The 23,548-nt window shown below is 44.1% G+C and overlaps 2 protein-coding genes across 4 annotated transcripts in view, besides 2 other annotated features; one reads left to right on the top strand and one right to left on the bottom strand.

Annotated features, from left to right (window-relative positions):
- TASP1 (taspase 1) overlaps positions 1 to 23,548 on the bottom strand; it is a 534,161-nt gene that overhangs the window by 139,582 nt on the left and 371,031 nt on the right. Inside the window, exon 15 of one of the 2 annotated variants that reach the window (XR_007067463.1) lies at positions 1 to 21,829. This exon is cut by the window's left edge and continues 12,228 nt beyond it. The exons of the other annotated variant lie outside the window; for it this stretch is intronic. The gene's annotated coding sequence lies outside the window, so the exon portion shown is untranslated. The remainder of the gene's footprint in view (positions 21,830 to 23,548) is intronic. 2 annotated transcript variants of the gene reach the window in all.
- Positions 1 to 23,548, top strand: part of ISM1 (isthmin 1) — a 105,450-nt gene that overhangs the window by 23,080 nt on the left and 58,822 nt on the right. The window lies entirely within an intron of this gene.
- Positions 2,989 to 3,283: an enhancer, noted in NCBI's record as "tiled region #1935; K562 Activating non-DNase unmatched - State 24:Quies". NCBI's record gives its function as "activates a minimal TATA promoter and a strong SV40 promoter by Sharpr-MPRA in K562 cells {active_cell/tissue: K562}" and the evidence as "EXISTENCE:reporter gene assay evidence [ECO:0000049][PMID:27701403]".
- Positions 17,769 to 18,063: a silencer, noted in NCBI's record as "tiled region #7489; K562 Repressive non-DNase unmatched - State 13:Ctcf". NCBI's record gives its function as "represses a minimal TATA promoter and a strong SV40 promoter by Sharpr-MPRA in K562 cells {active_cell/tissue: K562}" and the evidence as "EXISTENCE:reporter gene assay evidence [ECO:0000049][PMID:27701403]".

Genomic DNA, 23,548 nt, shown 5'->3' on the forward strand with positions numbered 1-23,548 from the left:
GAGGATTACCACTACTGTAGAAGATGTCCTATGCAAAAAAAAAAAAAACCAGCATAAGCTAATGAAAATATATAGTGGTCACTTATTCGGACATTACATGTCCTCAAGTCCTACAAATTATTTGGTAAGGCAGCTTTGTGATTTGTTTTCACACAGCAAGATGACTAGTGAAAAGAATTTAATGATAAGCAAACACATTGCATATAAAAACATATTAAAGATACTTATTTAGCATGAAGGCTTATTCCAGTTCACAGGCATGGTATTACCTTTACTATATACTTCCATAATTTAAACACAGATAAGGAGATAATGTGGTTTCTTCAAAATCCCTGGCCAGGTTTTGACCACATTTTCTATTGAGAAGACATGTCCCCCTTTTCATTCCCCTAGAAGCAAACTACCTATGCACAAGTCAAAAGTGAGTAAAATGTGTAAAAGGGAAAGGTGTGTTTCACCTAAGTGTCATATTCAGAAACATCTGCTTTGCCTGGTGTATATGGCATTAATTTCCTGCCAGTTTTCTATTGGAAGGCCCTTCTGAGTCTTCTGAAATTGAACATCAGGTCATGTTTCTTTAATCAACCTTGGAAACAATGAAAGAAAGGAGTGGTGGAGAGGTTTCTTTTTATAAAATGTTCCTAAAGTCAAAAAAGTCTAGAAGAAAGAACATGCACAACTTTGGACCATGAGTCTGGGATTTTAATACCAAAAAGCACTTATTCCCTGCCACCCCATGTTGGTTAAATATCTTCCTTCCTTCTTGTATTGGTTATCTATTGCTGTATAACAAATTACCCTATACTTATGCTACCCCGTAGCTGCTCAAAAGAACACACGTTTATTATCTCAGAACTTCCATGGGTCCGGAATTCAGACACAGCTTACCTGGATCCCTTGGCCCATGGTCTCTCACAGGCTACAGTAAAGGTAGCCCTCAGTTCCTTGCCATGTGGGCCTCTCCGTGGTGCAGCTCTCAGGATGGCAGCAGAATTTATCAGAGCAGGTAAGTGAATAAAGCCAGAAAAAGAGTATGAGCAAGACAAAATCCACAGTCTTTGTCACCTAATCTCAGTGACATTCCATCATGTTTGCCATACCCTATTTGTCAGAAGCAAGTCGTTTGCTCCATCCCACACTCAAAGGGAGGGGATTGCACAAGGCTGTGTATTCCAGGAGATGGGGTCATTGAGGGCCATTTCAGAAGCTGCCTGCCATACTCCCCTCCACATGTACCTGCCCATTCCTGTGTGTCCCAATAGTGATAGTTCCCCTGCACACTCTAGTGTAGTTACATGGGTCCTTACTTTTCCAGATTTCCTTAATTCCTTCATTTTATTTCATTTCTCATTTCTCTCCTTTCATGTCAATTCAAAATAATACTTAGTTTCATCTTCTAAACTGTTGCTCTCCTCTGCTCACAAACTTCCAATCATTCCCCTTTCCATGACTCAAAACAGATACTGAGGAACTCCATATCTGGAACTGACCCACCTTTCCTGCTCCTCAATTTATAGGCTGCATTTTCAGCCAAATTAGACTCTCACTATTCCTTGTACCCGCCCACTCCGATGTTCTTTGCCCTCTTTCCGGTTGCAAAAATTCTGGACAGGCCACAAAAGCTTTTCTGTGGGCTGGGCGCTGTGGCTCACGCCTATAATCCCAGCACTTTGAGAGACTGAGGTGGGCAGATCACTTGAAGTCAGGCGTTCAAGACCAGCTGGCCAACATGGTGAAACCCCGTCTCTACTGAAAATACACAAAAAAGAATTAGTCGGGCATGGTGGCACACACCTGTAATCCCAGCTACTCGGGAGGCTGAGGCAGCAGAATCACTTGAACCCAGGAGGCGGAGGTTGCAGTGAGCCAAGATCATGCCACTGCACTTTAGCCTGGGCAACACAGCGAGACTCCATCTCAAAAAAAAAAAAAAAGCTTTTCTGTGAACTGTCGAGGTAGAAATGGGCCCACTTCTGAACCCTCACAGCATGGTTCATCCACTGAGTGAATATTGCATTCTTCCTGCTCCCTGCCTATCTGTGGGTACGAAGCATCCCTACTGCCCACTCTGCCTGCCAGGACAGAGGAAGGGCCATGTGACCAGCAACTGTAGCTTACTCCTCTGTTATACCCATGGCATGCAGTGTAGCTACTTGCATATGGAAAGTGCCCAAGAAAGTCTGGAAGGTCAGGGAGTGTCGTGCTTTCCAAAATGCCTTCACCACATTTAAGGAGGCAGAGCAGATACGTGTTTTTTCATTTTATAGATGAGAAACCTGAGACCCGGAAAGTTTACCTACTTGCCTGAAATGGACAATGGCAAAGCCATGATTAAATTCCCAAGTTCTAAGACCTTGTCCAATCCCCCAGTGCCCTGGCCTTATAAGAAGAAAGTAACTGATTTGGGATTCTCCATTCATACCTTTTCTTTTTTCTTTTCAATGTAAAACCACCTGACTGAACTTGGTTTTTAATAAAGCAATTTAGAGTCACTTGATAACTCCTGCATTGTAATTAATATCCTTCTCTCTTTTTTTTTTAAACCATTCCAGGGGAAAGAAGGGAGCAAGACAGAGATTTAAAAATATATATATGTATAGTGCCGGGCCCAGTGGCTCAGGCCTGTAATCCCAGCACTTTGGGAGGCTGAGGCGGGTGGATCACCTGAGATCAGGAGTTAGAGACCAGTCTGGCCAACATGGTGAAACCCCGTCTCTACTGAAAATACAAAGCCAGGTGTGGTGGCACATGCTTGTAATCCCAGCTACTTGGGAGGCTGAGGCAGGAGAATCACTTGAACCTGGGAGGCAGAGGTTTCAGTGAGCCGAGATCGCACCATTGCACTCCAGCCTGGGCAAAAAAATGTGAATCTCCGTCTCAAAAAAAAAATAAGAAGAGATTTAGAGACAGAAAGAGGGCCTGGGTCTGCAATTTCTTGTTCTTCTGTGAAGTAAACTTTTCAACTTACCAAAAACACAGCATCAGGAAATGTTGTGTCTTTAAGTGTCAGCGTGTCCCTTCCTGACCCCTGATTCATGTCTGCCCATCTGATGAAGTTATCAGTGGCTTGCAGCCTGTACAGGTCAGGAGGGTTCCAATGACCCAGGACACCTTCGCCGGATGCTGTGGCTGAAACCACAGCATTTCTGGCAGCAAAGTGAGGGGTGTGTGTGTGTGTGTGTGTGTGTGTGTGTGTGTGTGTGTGTAGGTAGGTAGGAGGAGCAACTTAAAAGAGAGACTTTAGCATGAGGGATGATTATTTCTCAAAACCCACCATCTAGGCCTCTGTAGGCAATATTCTGAATTCAAAATGACTTTCAGCCAAGTCGTGTTTGCACCTGGGAACTGTGAGAAGTATTGAAAGCTTCATAAAGGAGAGGAAACCTGACCACGACAGGAAGTGACTTACAGCCCCTGAGGCTCAGATGTATTGACATAAGGTAGTGAAGTAGGAAAGAATTACGGTTTTCAAAAAGAAGTAGGATCTTGGTTTCTCTTTTATCCCAGTGTGATGTGTGTGTCCTAGAACAAAATCCTCTAACCACAGTGCAAAAGTGACATTCATGCAACAGGAGTGGTCTAAATCCCTTGCCTTTGTGGGTCTGATACAGAGGAAAGTCAGAATTTCCTCTATGACTTGTTCATCGTGTGTCAGTGTTGTGGTTTCCAAGTGCTGTGCAAACCTGATTTTCCAAGTTCCAGGTGGGCTATGTGGGTGATGGCAGCGTCCAAAAGTGCGGAAGAAATGAGCTAAAGCCAGCAAGTTACTTGGAGACTGAGGTTGTGGCTGCCCGATTCATAGTAGTACATTTCTTTGTGTGCACAAATTGTCAGATATTCTTATTCTCTAGCATTTCTTGTTGCTTGATTCTTCTTTATGAACATTTCTTGTTGCTCCACTTGAAGCAACAAGGGATCTGATATCCAGCAGCAGGTGAGTATACAAAAAGCTGAGTATGAACTGCATTGCTGGTGTGTGAACTGTCTTGGAAGAACCATGTCACTGGAAAATTTGATATTCTTTTGAAAAGATGATGGGCCTTACCAGTGAGATGTCTCCACTCCAGAGGAAGCTATTTTTTTAATGCAACACCTTGCCTGACATACTGCTTCAAGATCAATCTCAGGAGAATCTTGAGTGTAGCAAAAGCATTCTGCACCATTTCCCAGCAAGTGATTTCATAATAAATAAGACCATTGAACTTTACCTCTTGAGCCAGGCCTCATAATACTAATTTCTACCAGTGTTCTTCACATGTAGCTGGGGTGAAATGTGCTCAGTTTGTTTTCCCCTTTCAGTTCACTTCTTTTCGTCTCCTTCATCCAAAACCCAGTGTTAGAGGGACAGTTTGAAACAACCTGAAGGGATGGCATATGATGACTTTTGAGGCCGTTCCCTTGATCCCCAGATGTTTCCCTGTTCTGCATGACCTGCCATTTGGGGGTGAGCGGGGGAAGCCAGTGGAATAAATATATTTCTATCTGCAAAACCGAGCACTGGCTTTGAATTAACATGAAGGGACAAATGGAAAGCAAGGTGAAAGTATATGATGTAAGAGAGTTGATCAACATGAAAATACTGGTAGAAAGTGCTGTAACTTCTTAAGCGGCTTGTACAGGAGAAAAAGCTGTTTATCTTTAGGTAAGATTGGCTAAACATCGTGGGCCAAGTTCAGGCCCCACGTACATGTGGTCAGGTCAGGAGCCCTGCAAAGAACCTGTTGCCTTTATCCAAATATTACTCATTGTTGGGTGGAATTTTTTAGGATGATTTTTGAAAAGATAAATAAAATAAGGACACAAAGATCTGGGGGGAAAAAGCCAAATCTCACGGGAATCAGGGTTCCTAATGATCTTCTGTTCTCCCCACCACTGAAAGGTACTGAAAACAGGCAGAAGGGAGATCAGCTGCGAGCCTGCCCATTTCACAGATGGAACAGGGCTGAGGAGCTGGTGCAGCCATTCCAGGCCAGCATCCCCTGCCTCCCACCCCTAGTTCTGCCAGCAGACCACTGCCGCCAGACATGAAACACGGGCAGGCCAACTGGAACCCTTCCGTGCCCCAGGTGGACAGACATGGCAGGACCACACGGAGTCCATTCTTCTCCAGCAAAGTAGTGATGTGTTCCAGGCAAAAGCCCAATCGAGGATGTTTTGGCCCAAAGGAAACATTTACAACCAAATTATACACCTCGGAAAATAAACGAGCTTTCATTTTGGAAGGAAACCCCGCCAGGCTCTTTATTATTTACACCACAGTCATAAAGTTGGTTTTAATCTCTGTAGTGGAATGCTGCTGAATTGGCCAACTGGCAGGCTCTGGTGGTTCGAGTGGGGACCACTTTGCCTTTCGGAACACACAATGGGAAGCCAAAGGAAGTACTTCTCCTGAACCATTTTTCTCAGCCTCCATCATTTTTTGTTGCGTTTTGTTTTGTTTTGTTTTGTTTTGTTTTGTTTTGTTTTGTTTTGTTTTGTTTTGTTTCCTGGCATGTTCATTACAACTTTAAAGCAGACTCCTTTCTGCACTCTCTTTTCCTTTTTTCTCATTTGCAAAAATTGCTGGGGCCTTCCAGAAAAAGGCTTAATGTAATGTTTCCTTTCCAAATTGATGAAAATCCAGGAGGAGGCCCAAGAAAGTCTATAATGGATTTCCATCGATCGCTTCCAGGGGAACTGGATATAAAAGCTCACAGTGAACAGAAGGGAAGAGCTATCATGCATGTTCTCTTTTTCTACCTTAACAAAGAAATCTGGAGATGGAAAACTGCTGGTAGTCTGCTCCCAGGGTTCATGCCATGAAACGACCACGTTGATAGGGTAGCCAGGAGGCTTAGGATTTCTGGGATGGCCTAGGTTTCAAATATTTTATACCATTATCAGATTATACACTGGGTACTGTGTCCAATTTTAGGTTTGGAATAAAGAGGGCCCCTACTAGCTTTCAAGGATGTGGCTGGGTGCTTTCAGTTAGGAAACTCCTTTGATAAGGCTCAGAGTCGATTCAGCTTGCGGAGAATTTCACACGTACTGAAGACGTGAGAATGAAGTCCTTGGGGGCATATGGAGTTTTAGCAAACAGAGCAGGAAAAGAGCGAGTAATGGGCAAGGCTTTTGTCCTCATTGATTGGGCAAACCATGGCAACACAGTTAAGCATGCCAGGCAGCTTCCAAAACTTGCTGCACATTGGAATCGCCTGGGGATCTTTTTAAGGTCCTGGTGCCTGGACCCTTCCCCAGACTCCCTGTCTGATTTATATGGTTTGGGATGTGACTGAGGCATCAGGATGTACATTTGGGAACCCCTGCTGTGGATTGTAAGCTCCATGAGGGTAAGATTCGTGTCTATCTTGCTCCCTATTGTATTTCCAGTCTTTGGAACGGAGTAATTGGCTCTCAGTAATTACATATTGAATGAGTAAATGGATACATGCCCTGCAGCTCATCTGCCCACACACCATCAAAATGAATCCCAGCTAATTAGGTGATTTCAGCTTTTAAGTATGTTGGGTGGTTTGGGATGAGTGTGGCTTACATTCTAGGTCTCCTTTGCCCCCATCTATTTTACCCTCTGCTTCTCCCTACTGAAAACATCCTGAGAATTATTTTATCATCTCTTCTTAGGCCACTTTTAATATTCATGACCTGGAAATTTTATAACTTATGACCATTGATTGCTTTGTATTTTCCATAAGTCAGGAATTTATACCTTAGCTGTTCTGCTCCTTGGATTTCTGCCTCCCTCCCTATAATACTTTAATTATTCAGAGATCAATCCAGTCATTTTTGGCCTGCAAAGCCCTGGGGATTTCTTTCACCCAGTAGTTGAATGGTGAGCACTTGTCCTCTCCTTCTGATGTTGAAGGTTTTCACTTCCCGCTCCCTGCTTCCATTCCATCTCACCCCCCTTCCACAGGCATTGAATTCTGGCAGTGGATAAGTCAGCTTTTATTGTAAAAATGTTTATGGAGACTGTCAGTTCTTAACCTTCAAACTGAACCATGCTGTTTGTATTTTTCCAAGTGATGGAGAGTGTGAAGGACTAATGAAAATGGAGCGTGAAGAGATCAAACATGCGTCGTGGAATCTCTGTTCAAAACCCAGAATGGGAGAAAGTCCACTTTGCAGGGGAAGGCAGAATTCTGGGGATGGATCCTCTGTGAGTCAGGCTCAGGGCCTGAGATCATGATCTGGCATGAGAGAAAGTGAGGTGCAGGGAGCAAGGGGACCAGCGTGGTATGTGGGAGGTAGAGATCATAAGACTTTCTCTTTGGAGAAGCTAGAGCTAGAAATATATTTCCTTTGGTCAGAGAGCAAGCAAGAGTTGCAACAGACTCTATCTTCTGACCTTCTCAAGCCTGCTTTCAAAAGTCAGGATGTTGAAAGAAGCCATTCATAAGTTTGTATAGCATGCCATGTTGGAGAACTTTTTGCTTACCGTGTGACTTTTCTGTACGCCACTGGGGAGGGTGAGCACTTAGAACTTGGAGCCGAACTCTTAGTAACTGAATACCCAGGACTCTGGTTAAAAATGGGTTTGGCTCTACCTTAAAAGTCAATCTGTATATCTGCAGACTTGGGGAGTAAGTGAGAGAGTCCAAGCTGAAGCAAGCAAGCAAATGACATTTTCACAGGCTGAGGTATAAATTTGCTGGAGGAAAGCAAAGCTCTGGTTGCTACATGAGCTTTCCAGTTGGGGGCTGTGAGATTTATCTGAAAAGAGCATTTTCTTGGGTTGGATTCTTGGCAGCAGTTGGCCCTGTCTACGGAGCCTTAAGACACAAGAGTGTGAATGGATCCCTCAGGCCTCTTTTCTGGAAGATGTCCCTGGAAGAGCAACGAGCAAGTGCACAAGGGAGATGGTGAATGAATGCAGCTCAGGAAGTTATGCTTTTTCCTTGGAGTAGGGACCATTTGGCTTTGATGATGGCTGCTGTGTACATGCTGGGAACAATTAGATTGTCCTTCTTCACCTTCATACATGAATCATTGCTTTAATCAGGAAAAGTAAAAGTTAGGTGTTGGATGGTCTGAGATTTATCCTTGCTGATGGGTTCATCGTGGGGAGGCTTTTGCAGCATCAGAGAGCTTTTCAGTATAAAGGGGCGCCATCTTGGCTGGGCACAGTGGCTCACACCTGTAATCCCAGCACTTTGGGAGGCCAAGGCAGGCGGATCATTTGAGGTCTGGAGTTCAAGACCAGCCTGACCAACATGGTGAAACCCCGTCTCTACTAAAAATACAAAAATACATTAGCTGGGTGTGGTGGCGTGCACCTGTAGTCCCAGATACTCAGGAGGCTGAGGCAGGAGAATCGCTTGAACACGGGAGACAGAGGTTACAGTGGGCCAAGACTGCACCACTTGCACTCCAGCTTGGGCAACAGAGCGAGACTCTGTCTCAAAAAAAAAAAGAGGAGCCATCTTAAAACCATGATGATAGTAACTTGGCCTTTGGGGCAACTGAAGGAAACTGTTTTTCTCCACTCTCTCTTGTCTCTCACCTTCTGTCTTCCCACTTCTCTCATTTACTGACAGATAATTTCTCCTCTCTCTTAGGCCCACCTGGGGTCCCCAGCCCCCCCTCTCAGATCTCACTTAATCTTCTGCCAGACCTCTGAGCTAGAAAAGTTTATCTCATCCATTAGCCAATCTGGAACCAACCTGTCCTTCCCCATGGACCTGTGTGGCTTAATTAGAGACAGACACACAGCGAGGGAGAAATCAGTTGGAGGCCTGTTGCTGCTCCATTTGGGGTACTTGCTACCCAAGCAGACCTGGCAAAGCTAGCATTTATTGGCACAGGGAAAAGCAGGAAGGAACCAAGTCTCACAGTTCATCCTCCACCTTCAGGGTTTTTGATCTTCTCACCCTGCGTGTTGATCTCTTATGTCACTTGCTCAGTGTGCAGCTTCCTTCACCCAGGGACCCAGAGGGTGAGGAGCTCTGCCTTCCCTCACGGTGTTATCATAGGGGCATTCCTGAGGAGTGGGTGACCACTCAGAGGGTCTCCCCATGCTGGATGGGAGGCCTTGGAGCTCATTCGCTGTTGATCTGATTGTGCTTTTCCAAGATAAAAGTGCACTCTTTGAGAGCGCTGTGTTTCCTGGAAAGCATCTCCCATTGCCAAAGTACCATTCAGAATGATAGCTCCTTACCGACTATCAGCCACTGTTCCTCACCTTCTCTTGGTGAGAGCAGAGGTTCTCAGATGTGAGCCTGCAGAGAATCGCCAGGAGGCCTTGCTCAAACACCTGCTGCTGGGCCCCACCCCAGAAGCTCTGATTCCACAGGGGATAGGACCCGAGAATCAGCATTTTAAACACATTTCCAGGCGATTCCAACACTGCTGGCCTGGGGCCCCCATTTTGAGAACACATGAATTAAATTAATAACTCAGTATCATTATCAGTTTTTCTGTGAGCTCAGCTAGGAAACAATGGGCTAGTTCAGATATCTTAAAATTTAAAAAAAAGCTAAAATTAAAATAACACATACACATCCATATCCATATATATATATATATGTGTGTGTGTATGTTTATACACACACATAAAAACACACTTATAAATGTGTATTTATGGGCCAGGCACAGTGGCTCATGCCTATAATCCCAGCACCTTGGGAGGCCGAGGTGAGCGGATCACTTGAGGTCAGGAGTTCAAGACCAGCCTGGCCAACATGGCAAAACCCCATCATCTCTACTAAAAAAAAAAAAAAAAAAAAATACAAACATTAGGCATGGTGGTACATGCCTGTAATCCCAGCTACTTGGGAGACTGAGGCAGGAGAATCACTTGAGCCCAGGAGGGGGAGGTTGCAGTGAGCCAAGATCACGTCACTGCACCCCAGCCTGGGCGACAGAGCAAAACTCCATCTCAAAAATAAATAAATAAATAAATAAAGCAAATGTGTATTTATATCTGCAAATATATATTTATATTTATATAACCATATACATATACTTTAAATATGTGTATATATAAGTATAAACAGATGTATATACAAATAGAAAATATTTGAATTCATATTTGACTTTGAAGAAAAGCAAGCAGATTCAGAAAATGTTCAGAATCAGAATTGAATTCAAGAGAGCAAAATACCTGCCCCCCGCATCTCCTGCTGAGCCTCATTTCTGCACCTGCTTCCTAAACCCCTGCTGCTCTCTGTTGCTTTGCCAGGGCTGCTCCTTGGTGCACTTGCTGGGTGCTCAGTGGTGACTTGGTCACAGGCAGGTGGCAAGAGCTGTTGGTACCTCCAGCACAGTCTCTATATTCTCTCTCTGGGCAAAGGGAGAAGCTGGGCACTACCCATGATATCACTCAGAGGCAGATGACTGTGCCATCCTGTGCCAGGACTCGGGGTCACCACACAGGTAAGGGCCAACACAGGAACAGAGCCAGGGAGAACTTTTCCACCTCTGCCAGAGCTTCTTCTCATCCTTCCACATCCCAGAATCCACACATGGTTCGAGAGATGTAGGAGGAGTCAACTGTGGCCACACTTATTGGGCATTGAAATCCTGTTTGTCATTCCTTCCTTTTCCATCTATTCATTGTCCCTTCCATTCATTCAGAGAGCATTTAGTGAGGTCCTACTCTGTACTGGGCTCTAGGCCAAGTGCTGAGGCACAGAAGTGACAGAACAGACACGGTCCCTGCCTCATGGTTCTGACATCCTGGTAGGGGCCACAACACAGAAGAAAGCCCATAAATAGAATAATTTCAGCTAACAAATACTACAAATTAAATAAGCAGAATGATAGAGGGGAGCTTTTAAAGGGTGGGAAAGAACACTGGTTATATAAGATGATCAGGGAAGTCCTCTCTCTCTGGAGGTGACATTTAAGCTGAGACTTGAAGGATAGAAGAGAGAATGATGGCAACCTGGACTAGGACAGTGGCAGAGGAATTTGAAAAAATGGATAAAATGCTCTTTTTGTTGTTAGCAAGTAATAAGGGACTTGAAGATGTTAACATGGCTAATGTAATTTACCCCATTGTACAGTTGAGTTTACAGTTCAGTCATTATTTGTGTGTGTGTTTTTAGCCAGAAACTGGACAAAAATAAGTAAATGTCTAATAATTTATAGAAAAAGAAAAGAAGTATATATATGGTAGAGAAGTAATGAGGAGCAAGGAGGGATTAACTCTGCTGAAGATCAGGGAAGGTTTACAGAGAAGGCAGTATCTAAATAAGGTTTTAAAGGATGCATAGGAGTTTTCTATGTGGATAAGGGAAGGAAAGACTTTGCAGGTAGAGTAGACAGAAAGAAGTGCGACACTAGGGCATCTATTAGCACTTATAAGCCTCTATATGAATTACAACAAGTCATTCCCTCTGGGAAGACAATATCACTTCCTTCATTCTCAACTTCAGCCATTACTTGCCCCCTCATCAGACATCTTTGCACCATGCACAAATTGTACAATGTACATGGCATGGTAGACCTAAGTGAAACTACAAGGGGTCCGCTGTGCCCCTGCCTATCAGGCTTTGAAATCCTGTTTGTTCATTCAGCCCACCAACCAGCCATTCATTCATTCAGAGGATATTTAGTAAAGTTCCTGGGGTTTTTTTTTTTGGTGTGACTGCAGTTATAAAGAGGGAAAGACCATTTGTAATTTAGTCATGGAAAACCGTGAAGATCCACCAGGCAGTGATACCCAAGCAGCCAGTAGGAGAGCATCAGGCTGGGAGTTCGAAACCCTGTGTCCTGGGCCCTGGCTTGTGCCACCTTCCTCTTCAAAGATCCTCTAGAGGACAGGCGTGGTGGCTCATGCCTGTTATCCCAGCACTTTGGGAGGCTGAGGTGGGCAGATCACCTGAGGTCAGGAGTTTGAGACCAGCCTGGCCAACATGGTGAAACCCCATTTTTACTAAAAACACAAAAATTAGCCAGGCGTGGTGGCGGGTGCCTGTAATCCCAGCTATTCAGGAGGCTGAGACAGGAGAATCACTTGAATCCAGGAGGTGGAGGTTACACTGAGCCTAGATTGCACTATCATACTCCAGCCTGGGCAACAGAGTGAGACCCCGTCTCAAAAAAAAAAAAAAAAAAAAAAAGATCCTCTAGATTATGCTTTGTAAAAATGGAGAGTTGAATCCCAAAACCCATCTTGTGCCCTGCCCCCACCAGGCAGGTCCAGCATGACTATTCTCAGGACTAGTTGTATTTTAATAGGGGATCATGGGATCATGGAGATAAAATGGCTTTAAAATCAAATGACTGAAACACTGACCACGTCTTCCATCCTCAAGGTGGACCTTTTTGGAGAGGCTGGCAATGGTGGTGTTGGTCCTTTCTCTGTATTCTGAGCACTCTCTTTACACTGAGATTGTTGGAAGAGGTATTCACTCTCCCCGACAGCTGTTTACACCCCTAGTAAGTATGAGCCAGGTGACTTTGGCAGGATTCCAAACCTCAGTTTTCTCATCTGTACAATGGGGGTGATGATAATTATATCCACCCAGTGGGAAGCTTTGAAAGCCAATCGGTAGAAGTGATACGTAAAAGTGTTTGAGCAAGGCTGGCATGGAGAGGACATTTGAAAAAGGTGGAGGAGGTGGAGGTGTGGCTGTCACTAGGGAAGATAGGAGCTGGGCCTGAGGGGAAAAAACAGTGAAGAGAAAATGTAACAATGTGAAAGTGAGTGCTAGAAAAGTCTAATGAGAGAAGAGAATAATAAAGAGGAGAAAAGAAGTGTTTTTACCACACAGATGCTACCCATTTTACTGGTGAGAAAGCTCGAGCCACAGGGAAATAACATGCTCAACATGAAGCTCCTCTTTTTTCAAACACTATATTTTCCTGTATGTCTTATTGGCTGGAAAATAAAATAACAGTAACAGAGAAGCTTGGCTTCTTTAAGAGAGTATCGGCCAGGCTCGATGGCTCATGCCTGTAATCCCAGCATTTTGGGAGACCAAAGTGGGAGGATCATCTGAGGTCAGGAGTTTGAGACCAGCCTGGCCAACATGGTGAAAACCTGTCTCTACTAAAAATACAAAAAAATTAGCCAAGCGTGGTGGTGGATGCCTGTAATCTCAGCTACTAGGGAGGCTGAGGTGGGAGAATCACTTGAACCTGGGAGGTGAAGGTTGCAGGGCCTGGTTCTCTGCGTCTTCCTCAGTTCTCTGCCTCATCTGACCCACTGAATAGCTCTCATGTTTACATAGTGTACTATGTGCCATTTCATTCCTAACTTCTCCCCTCTCGAATCAGTGATAATCCATTGTTTTTATCATCACTATATCTATGGGTTTTGTTGACGAGACCTGATTAACCCTAAAAAGTCATTACACTGCACAAGTAAAGCAGTGTTGGGGTGGACTGTTATCTAGATGTGTATTTTCCTTAAAAAAAAAAAAAATGAGGCCAGGACTTCCCCTACCAAACCAAGTCAGGGAGCAGAGTTGAGAATTAAATCCACAGTGTACTGTGGGCCAGTGTTCTTGAGCCAGTCCTCTGAGAACTGTTATTCTGGAGCCGAGCAGCATTTAGGGGAGGCCAGGGAATTCAAAGTGGCTGCAGACTCTCTTGTTCTAACCAGCTCCAGGGTAGAAATTAGGACAGCACCGTACAGTGAAAGGAGCAAGGATTTCATAGCCTACTTACTATCTAGGGGCCTCTCAGCCTTAATTTCCTTATCTGTGGAAGAGGGGCACTCATGTCTACCTCACATGGATGTCATGAGACCAGATTTAATGTATAGTGCCTGGAACGGGTGGTATTATAGCTGCTATTTCTCCCAAGCATACCTGTGTCCCCCAAACATTCCGTTTACCTCTCTCAATCCATGTTCCACCTTTCTCCATCCTATTTATTTCTTGGGCACATGATCTGCATGTATTACATCAACAGGCTCCCTTGCTGTCTAGCTTCTGATTGGGTTTGGCCAATGTTAGGCATGGCAGGAAATGAACGCCCACCTTACTTCCAACCCCACAGCTCTCTCTTTCCCTTTGGTTAACAGTAGCCTCTCCCTGTCCTTGCATCTTCAGGCCTGGAGATGTGAGCTCTCCCTGGCTTTACTGGCCCTGGATACTAGAGCATCCTTGGTGGTTTCTGGGCACTTTGTCCAGATATGTTAAATTGTTCCTTTATTAAGCTCTCCTTAGTTACCCACTTGGAGGGTGCCATTCATTCCCTGCTCAGACTCAAACTGATACATCCTAATATTATGAGGTTTATATTGAGGAGAATAGTAAACATGTTCTCTGTTGAACATCTCCCCCTTCATGACCACATCCCAAAAGAAAGCCTCTGAGAACTTGTGATTCTCTTTTCTCGAACCTCAGTTAACTGAGGTTCTCATGGTAGAATTCTCGTTGGTGAGAACAACACTGGGAGGAGCTGTTTCTCTAGGATCAGAATAGGGAATTGTATCGGGGAAAAATGAAGTGTTCGAAAGGAGTTTGGGTGCCTTCTGGTGCATGGCCTTCTGTTCTCCCCATAAGGACCCTCACAGGAGGACAAACCCAAGGGAAGTCCTGCTCACAAGCCGTGGTTCTCCATACTGGTTCCGGCTTGTCAGTGCATTAGACCAACATCCGGATAGGGGCCTCTTAAAGAAGGTGAGAGAGCATAACATGGTGATGTTAAAACCTTACAGATGGCGAGCTGTGGTATCATAATTAGGAATCTGGGCCGGGCGCAATGGCTCATGCCTGTAATCCCAACACTTTGGGAGGCCGAGGCGGGTGGATCACCTGAGGTCAGGAGTTCAAGACCAGCCTGGCCAACATGGTGAAACCCCGTCTCTACTAAAAATACAAAAATTAGCCAGGCATGGTGGTATGCGCCTGTAGTCCCAGTCTTGGGAGGCTGAGGCAGGAGAATCGCTTGAACCCAGGAGGCGGAGGTTGCAGTGAGCCGAGATCGTACCACTGCACTCCAGCCTGGGCGACAGAGTGAGACTCTGTCTCAAAAAAAAAAAAACAAAAACAAAAGGAGTCTAGATAATTTTACTTCCTTACATTGAAAACTTCCACTCCTTCAGAATTTCCCACTTTCTACTTTGCATTTTATATGGATACAAGCATTTCTTAACTTCCCCTCTGTAATCTAAATTTGAAGACAAAAACTGTCCAAATAAAATTTTCATAATATTAAAAATGTGAATCTCATACAAATAAAGAAAAAGCACATGTCAACTACTTAACTAAATGAATGAAAGAAAAGGAAGATGCTAATGACATCTCAGAGCATTTGAGAAACAGATGTTTATAAAGTTAGTGGGGAAAATGATGATGAAGTAAGTGTGTAAACATAAATAAGACTGATTAATGTCCTGTAGAGCCATAAAACAGTTAGCACTGAGTTATTGTTTCTACTAGACAAAAACATTTCTATATCTACAGAATGAAAATCTATAAGTTAACATGTAACTTTTAGTCTGGGCCCTAATCAATAGGAAATAATAAGCCAAGTGAAGATACATGCTCCTACAGAATTAAATACTTTGGGGCAGGCCTGTGCCCCAATACTAAGTGATAAACTTGCAGTCATCCTTTTGCTTCATTTCCAAGTTTTGGAAAAGTTGTCTTAACAAGCCATGTGCTATTGGCACTGTCTCACCCTAGCACAGTACCTGATACATAATAAATATCGATGGAGTGTTTGTTGAATGAATCCATGAATAGAGCTAACAGCCCAGCTTCCTATAGAGAAAGGTTAGCTAAGCTAAGTCAAGAGCCCACAATTGCATCAGCTGCCAGTTTTCCAAGCAGGAATCACACCATTTCCCTAGAGAATAACAGAACAGCAGTCCAAACAGGAACAATCTGTACAGGCAGGTGGCAAAGGGAACAGGTGCCGGTGGCAGGAGCTTTCTCTTCACCTCTGGCCATATGTGGCCTATGACAGCTCTATAATTGTTTTACAGTGTCGGGGGGTCCTGTTAATAAATGGGCATTACTAGTTTCTAGTAGCACACAGAGCTGTACAGGTGCATCATGAAAGCACAAAGGAGAACTGTTAAGTCTCAGCTTCGAGTCTTTGAAAAACTGGCAATGAAGCTATTACCAAAAAAGCACCTGTCAGTGAAGAAAGTCGTTGGCAGGGCTTTGGAATTTTCCAACAGGTTTTACCCAGCTTTGAGCTAACAGGTAGAAGGATAGAGAGAAAGGAGAAGATGTTCTAGTCATTGCAGATAGAATCTACATTTCATGCATTTGTGAACCACTGGATTTTTATTTAATCTCCCCACCCTCAATTTGATGTTTTCAGCATTTGGAATAAAGTGGAGTTTTTTTTTTTTTTGAAGTTAGTGTGAAATAATTTCTCCAGAACAAGTGTCTCTTTAGGATTCCATTCCGAGGAAGTCAGAGCTGAATAGAGTGAGAGGCTTTCTGCAACTCTCATTCTACCTCACCATGGTCATTTCACAGAATAAATAACCAAGGTCCTATATCAGTCAGCTTTTGTTGTGTAACAAACCACACTGGGTTCACTAGCTTAAACCCGCAAGGATTTATTATTTCTCATGACTCTCTGGGTCAGCAGGGTGGCTCTCATAGCCTGGGGAGGCTCAGCCAGGGCTGGATGGTCTAGGACAGTCTCCATCTGAGTGACTGGCCATTGGCAGGCTGGTGAATCTGGTATAAATTATCTCTGCTGCACACGTCTCTCACCATTCAACAGGCTAGCTTGGCCTTCTTCACCGAGTGTTCTCAGCATTCCAAAGAGCAAAAAAAAATAGGCAATCCTAAGGCACAAGTGCTTTTCAAGTCTCTGTTAACTGTTGTCCCTTTGGCCGCAGTAAGAAGCTCAAAGAAGGCCAGGCACAGTGGCTCATGCCCGTAATCCCAGCACTTTGAGAGGCTGAGTTGGGTGGATCACCTGAGGTCAGGAATTCAAGACCAGCCTGGCCAACATAGTAAAACCCCGTCTCTACTAAAAATATAAAAAATTAGCCAGGTGTGGTGGTGGTGGGCACCTGTAATCCCAGCTACTCTGGAGGCTGAGGCAGGAGAATCGCCTGAACCCAGAAGGCAGAGGTTGCAGTGAGCCGAGATCGCGCCATTGCCCTTCAGCCTGGGCAACAAGAGGGAAGAGTGAAACTCTGTCTCAAAAAAAAAAAAAAGAAAAAAGAAGCTCAAAGAGTGTGGAAGCAACTACCTGAGGCGTGGATCTTTAGAGAAAAGAAGAATTTGTGGACATTTTTGCCAACCAGTCTACCATAAGTGCAGAGGTGCAATAACTTACCAAAGCTCACAAAACAGGAAGAGGCAATGCTGGGACCCAGACCCAGACCTTGAAACTCCTGGCCCCAGTCCTTTCCACAGTACCCTGAACCCTTTTCAGGATTCCAAGGTTAACGTCCAATGACCTTTGAAACCCATTTTAGAAGTACTTGGAGCAGAGAGATTAGCAATAGGTTTCAATGAGGGTTCTTAACTTTAGTGTTGAGAAGAATCCATCTCCTTAATTAGGATAATAACTTGGCAAGGGTCCCTAGGCCACCCCTACCCCAGACCTCAGCTTCTGAACTCTGCCATCCATGTCCTTTGGCTTAATTTCCAGGTTCTCCCTCTCACCAACAGAACACCAGCCTTGGCCTGGGCCTTATATCCCCTCATTCTATGCAGGGAGACACAGAATCACTGCAGGAGATGTTCGCCTTCTGGTGTCCTGTTCGACACCCGTTCCCTCTGGTCGTAGGAGGACTTAGATACTTGGGCCTTTTAGGTGCACTAATGATCTGGTGCCTCTTCAAATTGGGTCCTGGAAACCGAGTCCTAGACAGTTACCACTCTGTTTTCTTTGCCGGTAATGGAGAAAGCACAACTTGGAAAATCACCAATAATCCACACTCATTAAATATTTGCTCAAAGTTTGACTTAAAGGGGTGGCTGAACTCTAACAGGGCTGAAGAGGAGGGATGGAAGCCCCCTGGTGGCCACTGGTGGCCTGGCCTTTATAGCCCTGAGCTGGTTAGCTGCAGCCTGGAAGGCTGATAGAAAGCCTTGCCCTTAACTGGATGCTGAGGATGGCTGGCCTCACACCACAAGGGCTTTATCAAAGTGGTTCTGGAAAGTATGATTTCTCCATCTCTCTACATTTGCAGGGATGTTTTAGGTGATGTGTGAAGGGTTTGTTTTTCTTTTTCTTTTTTTTTTTGGCCTAACTCACTTTCCACTCGTGTACTCTGCTTCTTACATGTTTTCTTACACTTGAAAGAATAATTTATCCTTCATTTCAGTTCATTCTTTAGCCTAACAGGACATAAAAGAAATCGGTCCTGGAAAAGCTACCACTCTGTTTTCTTTGCCAGCAATGGAGAAAGCACAACTTGAAAAAATTCACCAATAATCTGCACATTTTCAAGATCAAAGCAGTTTACAGAAGTATTCAAGACACACCAGTGAAGTGTTGATCTCCATTTTGTCAGCCGGCCCCAAGAACCTTCAATGAGGAGAGATACACAGGGATGGGTGGCCCCTCCACCTCAAAGCCAGCTCCCTACCCAAATGCAAAGAGTTGCCCATTCTTCATTTCTTCTAAAGCCTGAGATAATAAACGAGGTCACTGCCAAGCCCTAAAGTAAACATCGTTATGATACATTCTGCCGCCATAACTAGGGATTCCTCAGCTATTAGTCAGACCGTGACAGCAGGCTCCATTCCCAAACCAGGACTGAGACCCTCCTGAATTCTTGAGCCCATGATGTACCTGTGTCACTGGCTCTCAGGGCTGTCGTCAGAGTGCCCAGCAAAGACTGAAGCATACGTATGGCCGTTTCCCCTCTGCCAGCAATAGTTCCTAAAGGGGCATTGCACTGTCATGCTTGCTATAAAATACGGCCATTGACATTTGCTCTGTTCCTGCTGCCTGAAGGGGAATGATTGCCATCATACACAGGCTTCATGAGAGCAGCAGCTGGTCAGCCTTGTCATCTGTGTCTTCACAGTGCAGTTTTTCCCCAGTGCATCCTGGCTGCCTCTTTCCAACACTTCTCAGAATAAGTCCCAACAAGCCCCCCACCACCCCCTGCTTCCACTCCTAGGATCGTGGTCTCCATCCATCTTCCTGAGCACTAAGAACAAGTGTGCCCCTTCTAGAAAGCCGATTTTATGGTCTAAAACTCACTTTATTCATTCTCCTGGTTTTCTCATCTTAGGAGTGCTTGCTCCTCAATCATGTTAAAGATAATCAGTGTGCCATTTTCTTCTTTTATCTCTTCAAATGGCAAAACTTTTGCTCTTCCCTTTGAAATACCACTAGTGGCATTCTTGAACTTATTTTTAGATGTGTGGAACTGTTCCAGACAAAATCGATGCTCGGCACAGATAAAGCCCCGAGTGTGTTTATTGTGGGTAGAAGAAAATGGAGTGTTTGAATGTGGAAGGCGCACAGCCATGTGCCTGGGTGCAGTATGGCTTCCTTTCATCTGGAAAAAGGAAACAAGCATTGTCGATAATAATATGCAGATGTCCAGCCCCAAATGAGGATATATTGCTAATTAACTATATTGTTAGTTTGTTTTAAGGAGAGAGGCTGTAGTGACATTAATTATAATCTCTGTTGTTTGTTGTTCAAAGTCTATGAGACCAAATGCATTGCTAATAATATCTTCTTTAATATCTTCAGTAGAAGATTCCTAGGGTTTTTTTGTTTTTCTTTAGAATCCCACATAAAAGCCACATTAGGGGTAATGAGGCCTGTAGCCTGAGCCTAATTAAAATAAAATCTAACTAGGCCCTCGTTACCCAATGATAACTTTAGCCATCATTATCATCAACTAGTACTTATTTGTTGCCCCCTGAGCTTGTGAAACTGGGGGAAGGAGGAGGGAGTTTGGAGACTGAAGACAGGGCCTGTTCTTTGCCTTTCAGAAATTTGCCAGCCAGTCTGCCTTCAAGAAGTCTGCCTGATTGTGTTAATCTGGGGAATAGTTACCAGTTTTTGCCTTAAAGAGAAAAAGTACTAAACTTTCCTAGACAGCCACAATTTGTTACTGATTTGTGCCTCTTCTGGAGGTTCTGAAAGTGGTGAAATCAACCCTGTTCTTCAGATTCCAGTCCTTGGTTGGTGTTTGCAGAATAGGGCAGGTGGCTATTTGCAGACTGGGACAATGATGCTTAGCACATTTTTTCCAAAAGAGGATGCATCACTCATTTCCATAGCTTTATCTTCCTCCTATTGTAGTGCTCATCCTAATTTGCCCTGTGGCTTGGTTGTCCAAAAAACCTCACTCCCTCTCTTTTGTATTCATCTGCCTGTGTCAAATGACCAGCTGGGGGACTCTGGCCATTCTGACCACTCTGACCCTAGATGTGGCTATGGCCATCCACCTTGGTCACAAACACAGCCACGATGAGCAACGCCAGCTATGCAGTGGCTGGAGGCAGTGATTGGACATTCTTGGTGTTGGACCAGGATGTACTCAGTATAAAGGACACAAGTGATTAAAACGTGTGGATTTGTCATCTGAGAAAAACTGCACCCAGCCTAAAGATGAGAGGTTTTCTCTTCTTGATTCATCTCAGCAGAGCTTTCCCAAGGGCATCCAGGGCCAGCTGATGAGAATGAGGAAGGAGGGATGAGATCCCAGCACCATGTAGCTTCAGCAAACCTCCAAGTGCCCCAGAGGATGCTACCAGAGAAGTGGTAGCCTAGTGGACAAGTCACAGCGCAGTGTGATAGAAGGCTGTCAGACCAAAGGCTGGTGGGCTAAGACTGTGCGTTGGGCCCGATGTGTATAATATTTAACTCTGTTATTTCATATGAAAACAGCAGGTGTCTCTGATCGTTACTCTCACCACATTTCAGCTCTGAAACCCTTTGGATCTATAAACCACAGCTCTGTCAGACCTGAGAGACTCCTTCACCAAGATTGCAAAGCTCCTGAACCCCTCCCCAGCTCCCTGTTCTCTTAACCTGATGCATCTGCTGTACGTTTACAAGCCTTTTTTATTTCAGTTCAAACATTGCTTCCTCTGAAAACCTTTCTTTCTTTTTAATACCAATTTGCAAAGGAAGGAGTTTTATAATACCTACCTCAAATGGTAACAGTAGGTTTTCTGGATTTCTCTCCTTCATGAGTATCCTTATGGATTTTGATAGATTCAGTGTACATCAGTCAAGTACAATCTTTTTGTCCAAATTCTCTGATCTGTGAGCAATGGGGGCCTGTCAAGCTGACTCCTGTGTTCTTTCAAGAGTACCCTGTTAATCATCGAAAGCTTCCTTGCTTCTTGTTGCAGGAAAGTATCCCAAATTCATCTGTGCCTTCCCCGCCCAAGCTCTGCACTCAATCCATTTGTCCAAGGAATGCTGGTTCCTTTTGGTGAGGAAAAACCTCTTGCAATTGTGATAGTATTTGGTTGGTGCAAAAGTAATGGCGGTTTTTGCCATTACTTTCAATGGCAAAACCTTTATAATTTTCTGGGTCATCACAACTCAGAAATTAAAATCCCAAGAGGGCACATTGCTACTGGTACTGCAGCATTGTCAATGTTAACATTAAGATTAATGATAACAGTAAAAGACATATGGAGGTCACCATTCCAGGACCAGCGTGATAGCTCCATAATACTATCAGGGACCTAAGCCCACCATCTGTCCAGTCAGCCACGCTTAGACTACAGCCTCCATCCTCAGGCCTGCCAGCCGCCTCATTTCACGTCAAGCCTTGTTTCCTCATTTCAGGCAGGACAAAGTGGAAGAGAGAAAGGCAAATGGCAAAACCGAATCTGAAAACTCCTTTGCAGCAGTTCTGTCCAGAACCTTCCACTTACTCCTCATGGGGCAGAATTGTGTCATATGGTCGCACTCAGATGAAGTGGATGCTGGGAAATGTAGTTTTTGCCAGGTCCACAGCCACCTGAAACAAACACCAAGTAAGAAAAAGAGGGGACTAGACATTGGGCAGGCAATTGCAATGTCTGCCACAGTACTGCCATGTAAGGCAAAATGCTAGGCTGTAAGAAGAGGATATTTTTATTACTATTCCTGTTTTTGATAAGTTCTAAAATAATAGAAGGAGAGGAGCACCAAGCAGTAGCTAAATAATTTGACCAATGAAGATCACCTGCCTCAGCAATGGAAGAGTTCATGTGCATAAGCCGTTTAATAGCTGCATTTCTTCTGTTTTCCTTCTCAGTGGTAGTCACAGCTCTGAAATTATAGTCACAAGAGGAAACATTGCTGCTGGTGCTGCAGCATTGTCAATGTTAACTCATAGATAGTTAACTCAATGTTAACTCATTGTCGATGTTAACTCATAGATTGATGTTCAACTCAAAGACACATTGTGGGTAAAGCAATATTTTCCCAAACTGAGCAGGCCCCCTTGTGTCACTTTAACTGGGGCAGAATGAATTCAATGGCATTTTGGAAAGAATGGTCATGATGCTTTCCTTAAATTCCCAGACTTTCCTAAGGTATCATTTTCAGAGAAGAATGTTTGCTTGCCTGAATAAAACACAAAATATTTTACTTTTAACCTTGAGATCCACCCCTCTTGAAAATCTTTACTCTGCTGGAATAATTCACGTGGAATACTCAGTGAGTGAACTTGGTAATAGCTGGACTGATGTCCTCAACCAGGACCTCCAAGGGGGGCTCTGCAAGGAGGATGTGCAGTAAGTCCCTTTGAGAAGAGATAAAGAAAGGTTTTCTTCTGCATTACTAGGATATTCTGTCTGTTGTCTCCTACCCTAGATTTAAAGTCTAGATGACTAAAATAATGGCTACTCTCAAATCTTGTTATTGATTGAATAAAACAGGGTTTCATTCTATATGAGCCATCCTTAGCCACACTTCCCCTATCCTAGGATTTCCAATTTCTTAACAGCTTGGGGGCATGCCATTGCAAGGAGGCAAGGTGTCCAGTTAAATATGTTTTGAAAGAGGTGCAAGAGTAACTCAGATGTTCAGAGATTGTGATTAGCATTTCTTTATTACTTCCCATCTTCCAAATACTTTACAAACACCAAGCCTGTGTCTGGGGGGCAGGGCGGTTCGGAGAGATGGAGAAATGCCACAGTTGTGTGCATAACTGAAGCCAAAACATACTTCAGCCCCAGTTGTCTGACTATTCCCGGCAGAGGTACTTGTGGCCTGAACTGCCCAGCCAGTGACCCTAACGCGACACTTCCCTTTCCATGTGTAGACACAACCCAACCCAAGTATCTTGACTAATCCTGCGGGGAGGGTACAGGGCTCTTCTTATTATCTAATCTGCTTTACATGCAAAGTCCTCGAGTCCTAGAGAGTTTAAGGGGTTTGCTTGGTCTGGGGCTAAGCCAGAAGCACTCTGTGGTGGTGAATTTCCTACCAGGAAAAATTCAAGAGTCACATCAATCAATCAATCAGACTTAGTCCCTGTTTTTTCAGACATCTAGGCAAAATGTTAAAGAGTAGCAAAAACACATTTTCTACTTCTTCTAAAATGTAAGTGTTCATAGTAGGAAGAGTACTCCATTCACAGGGGAAAGGAAAGAGAGCCTCATTTTTAACCTAATTAAACAGTATACCTCCATTGTGGCTATGAAGTTAGGGCTTGATTTACAAGAAGTACTAAAGCAATTGGGAAGCAAAT

Source organism: Homo sapiens, chromosome 20 (genome assembly GCF_000001405.40).
Source record: "Homo sapiens chromosome 20, GRCh38.p14 Primary Assembly".
In the NCBI taxonomy this organism is placed as follows: Eukaryota; Metazoa; Chordata; class Mammalia; order Primates; family Hominidae; genus Homo; species Homo sapiens.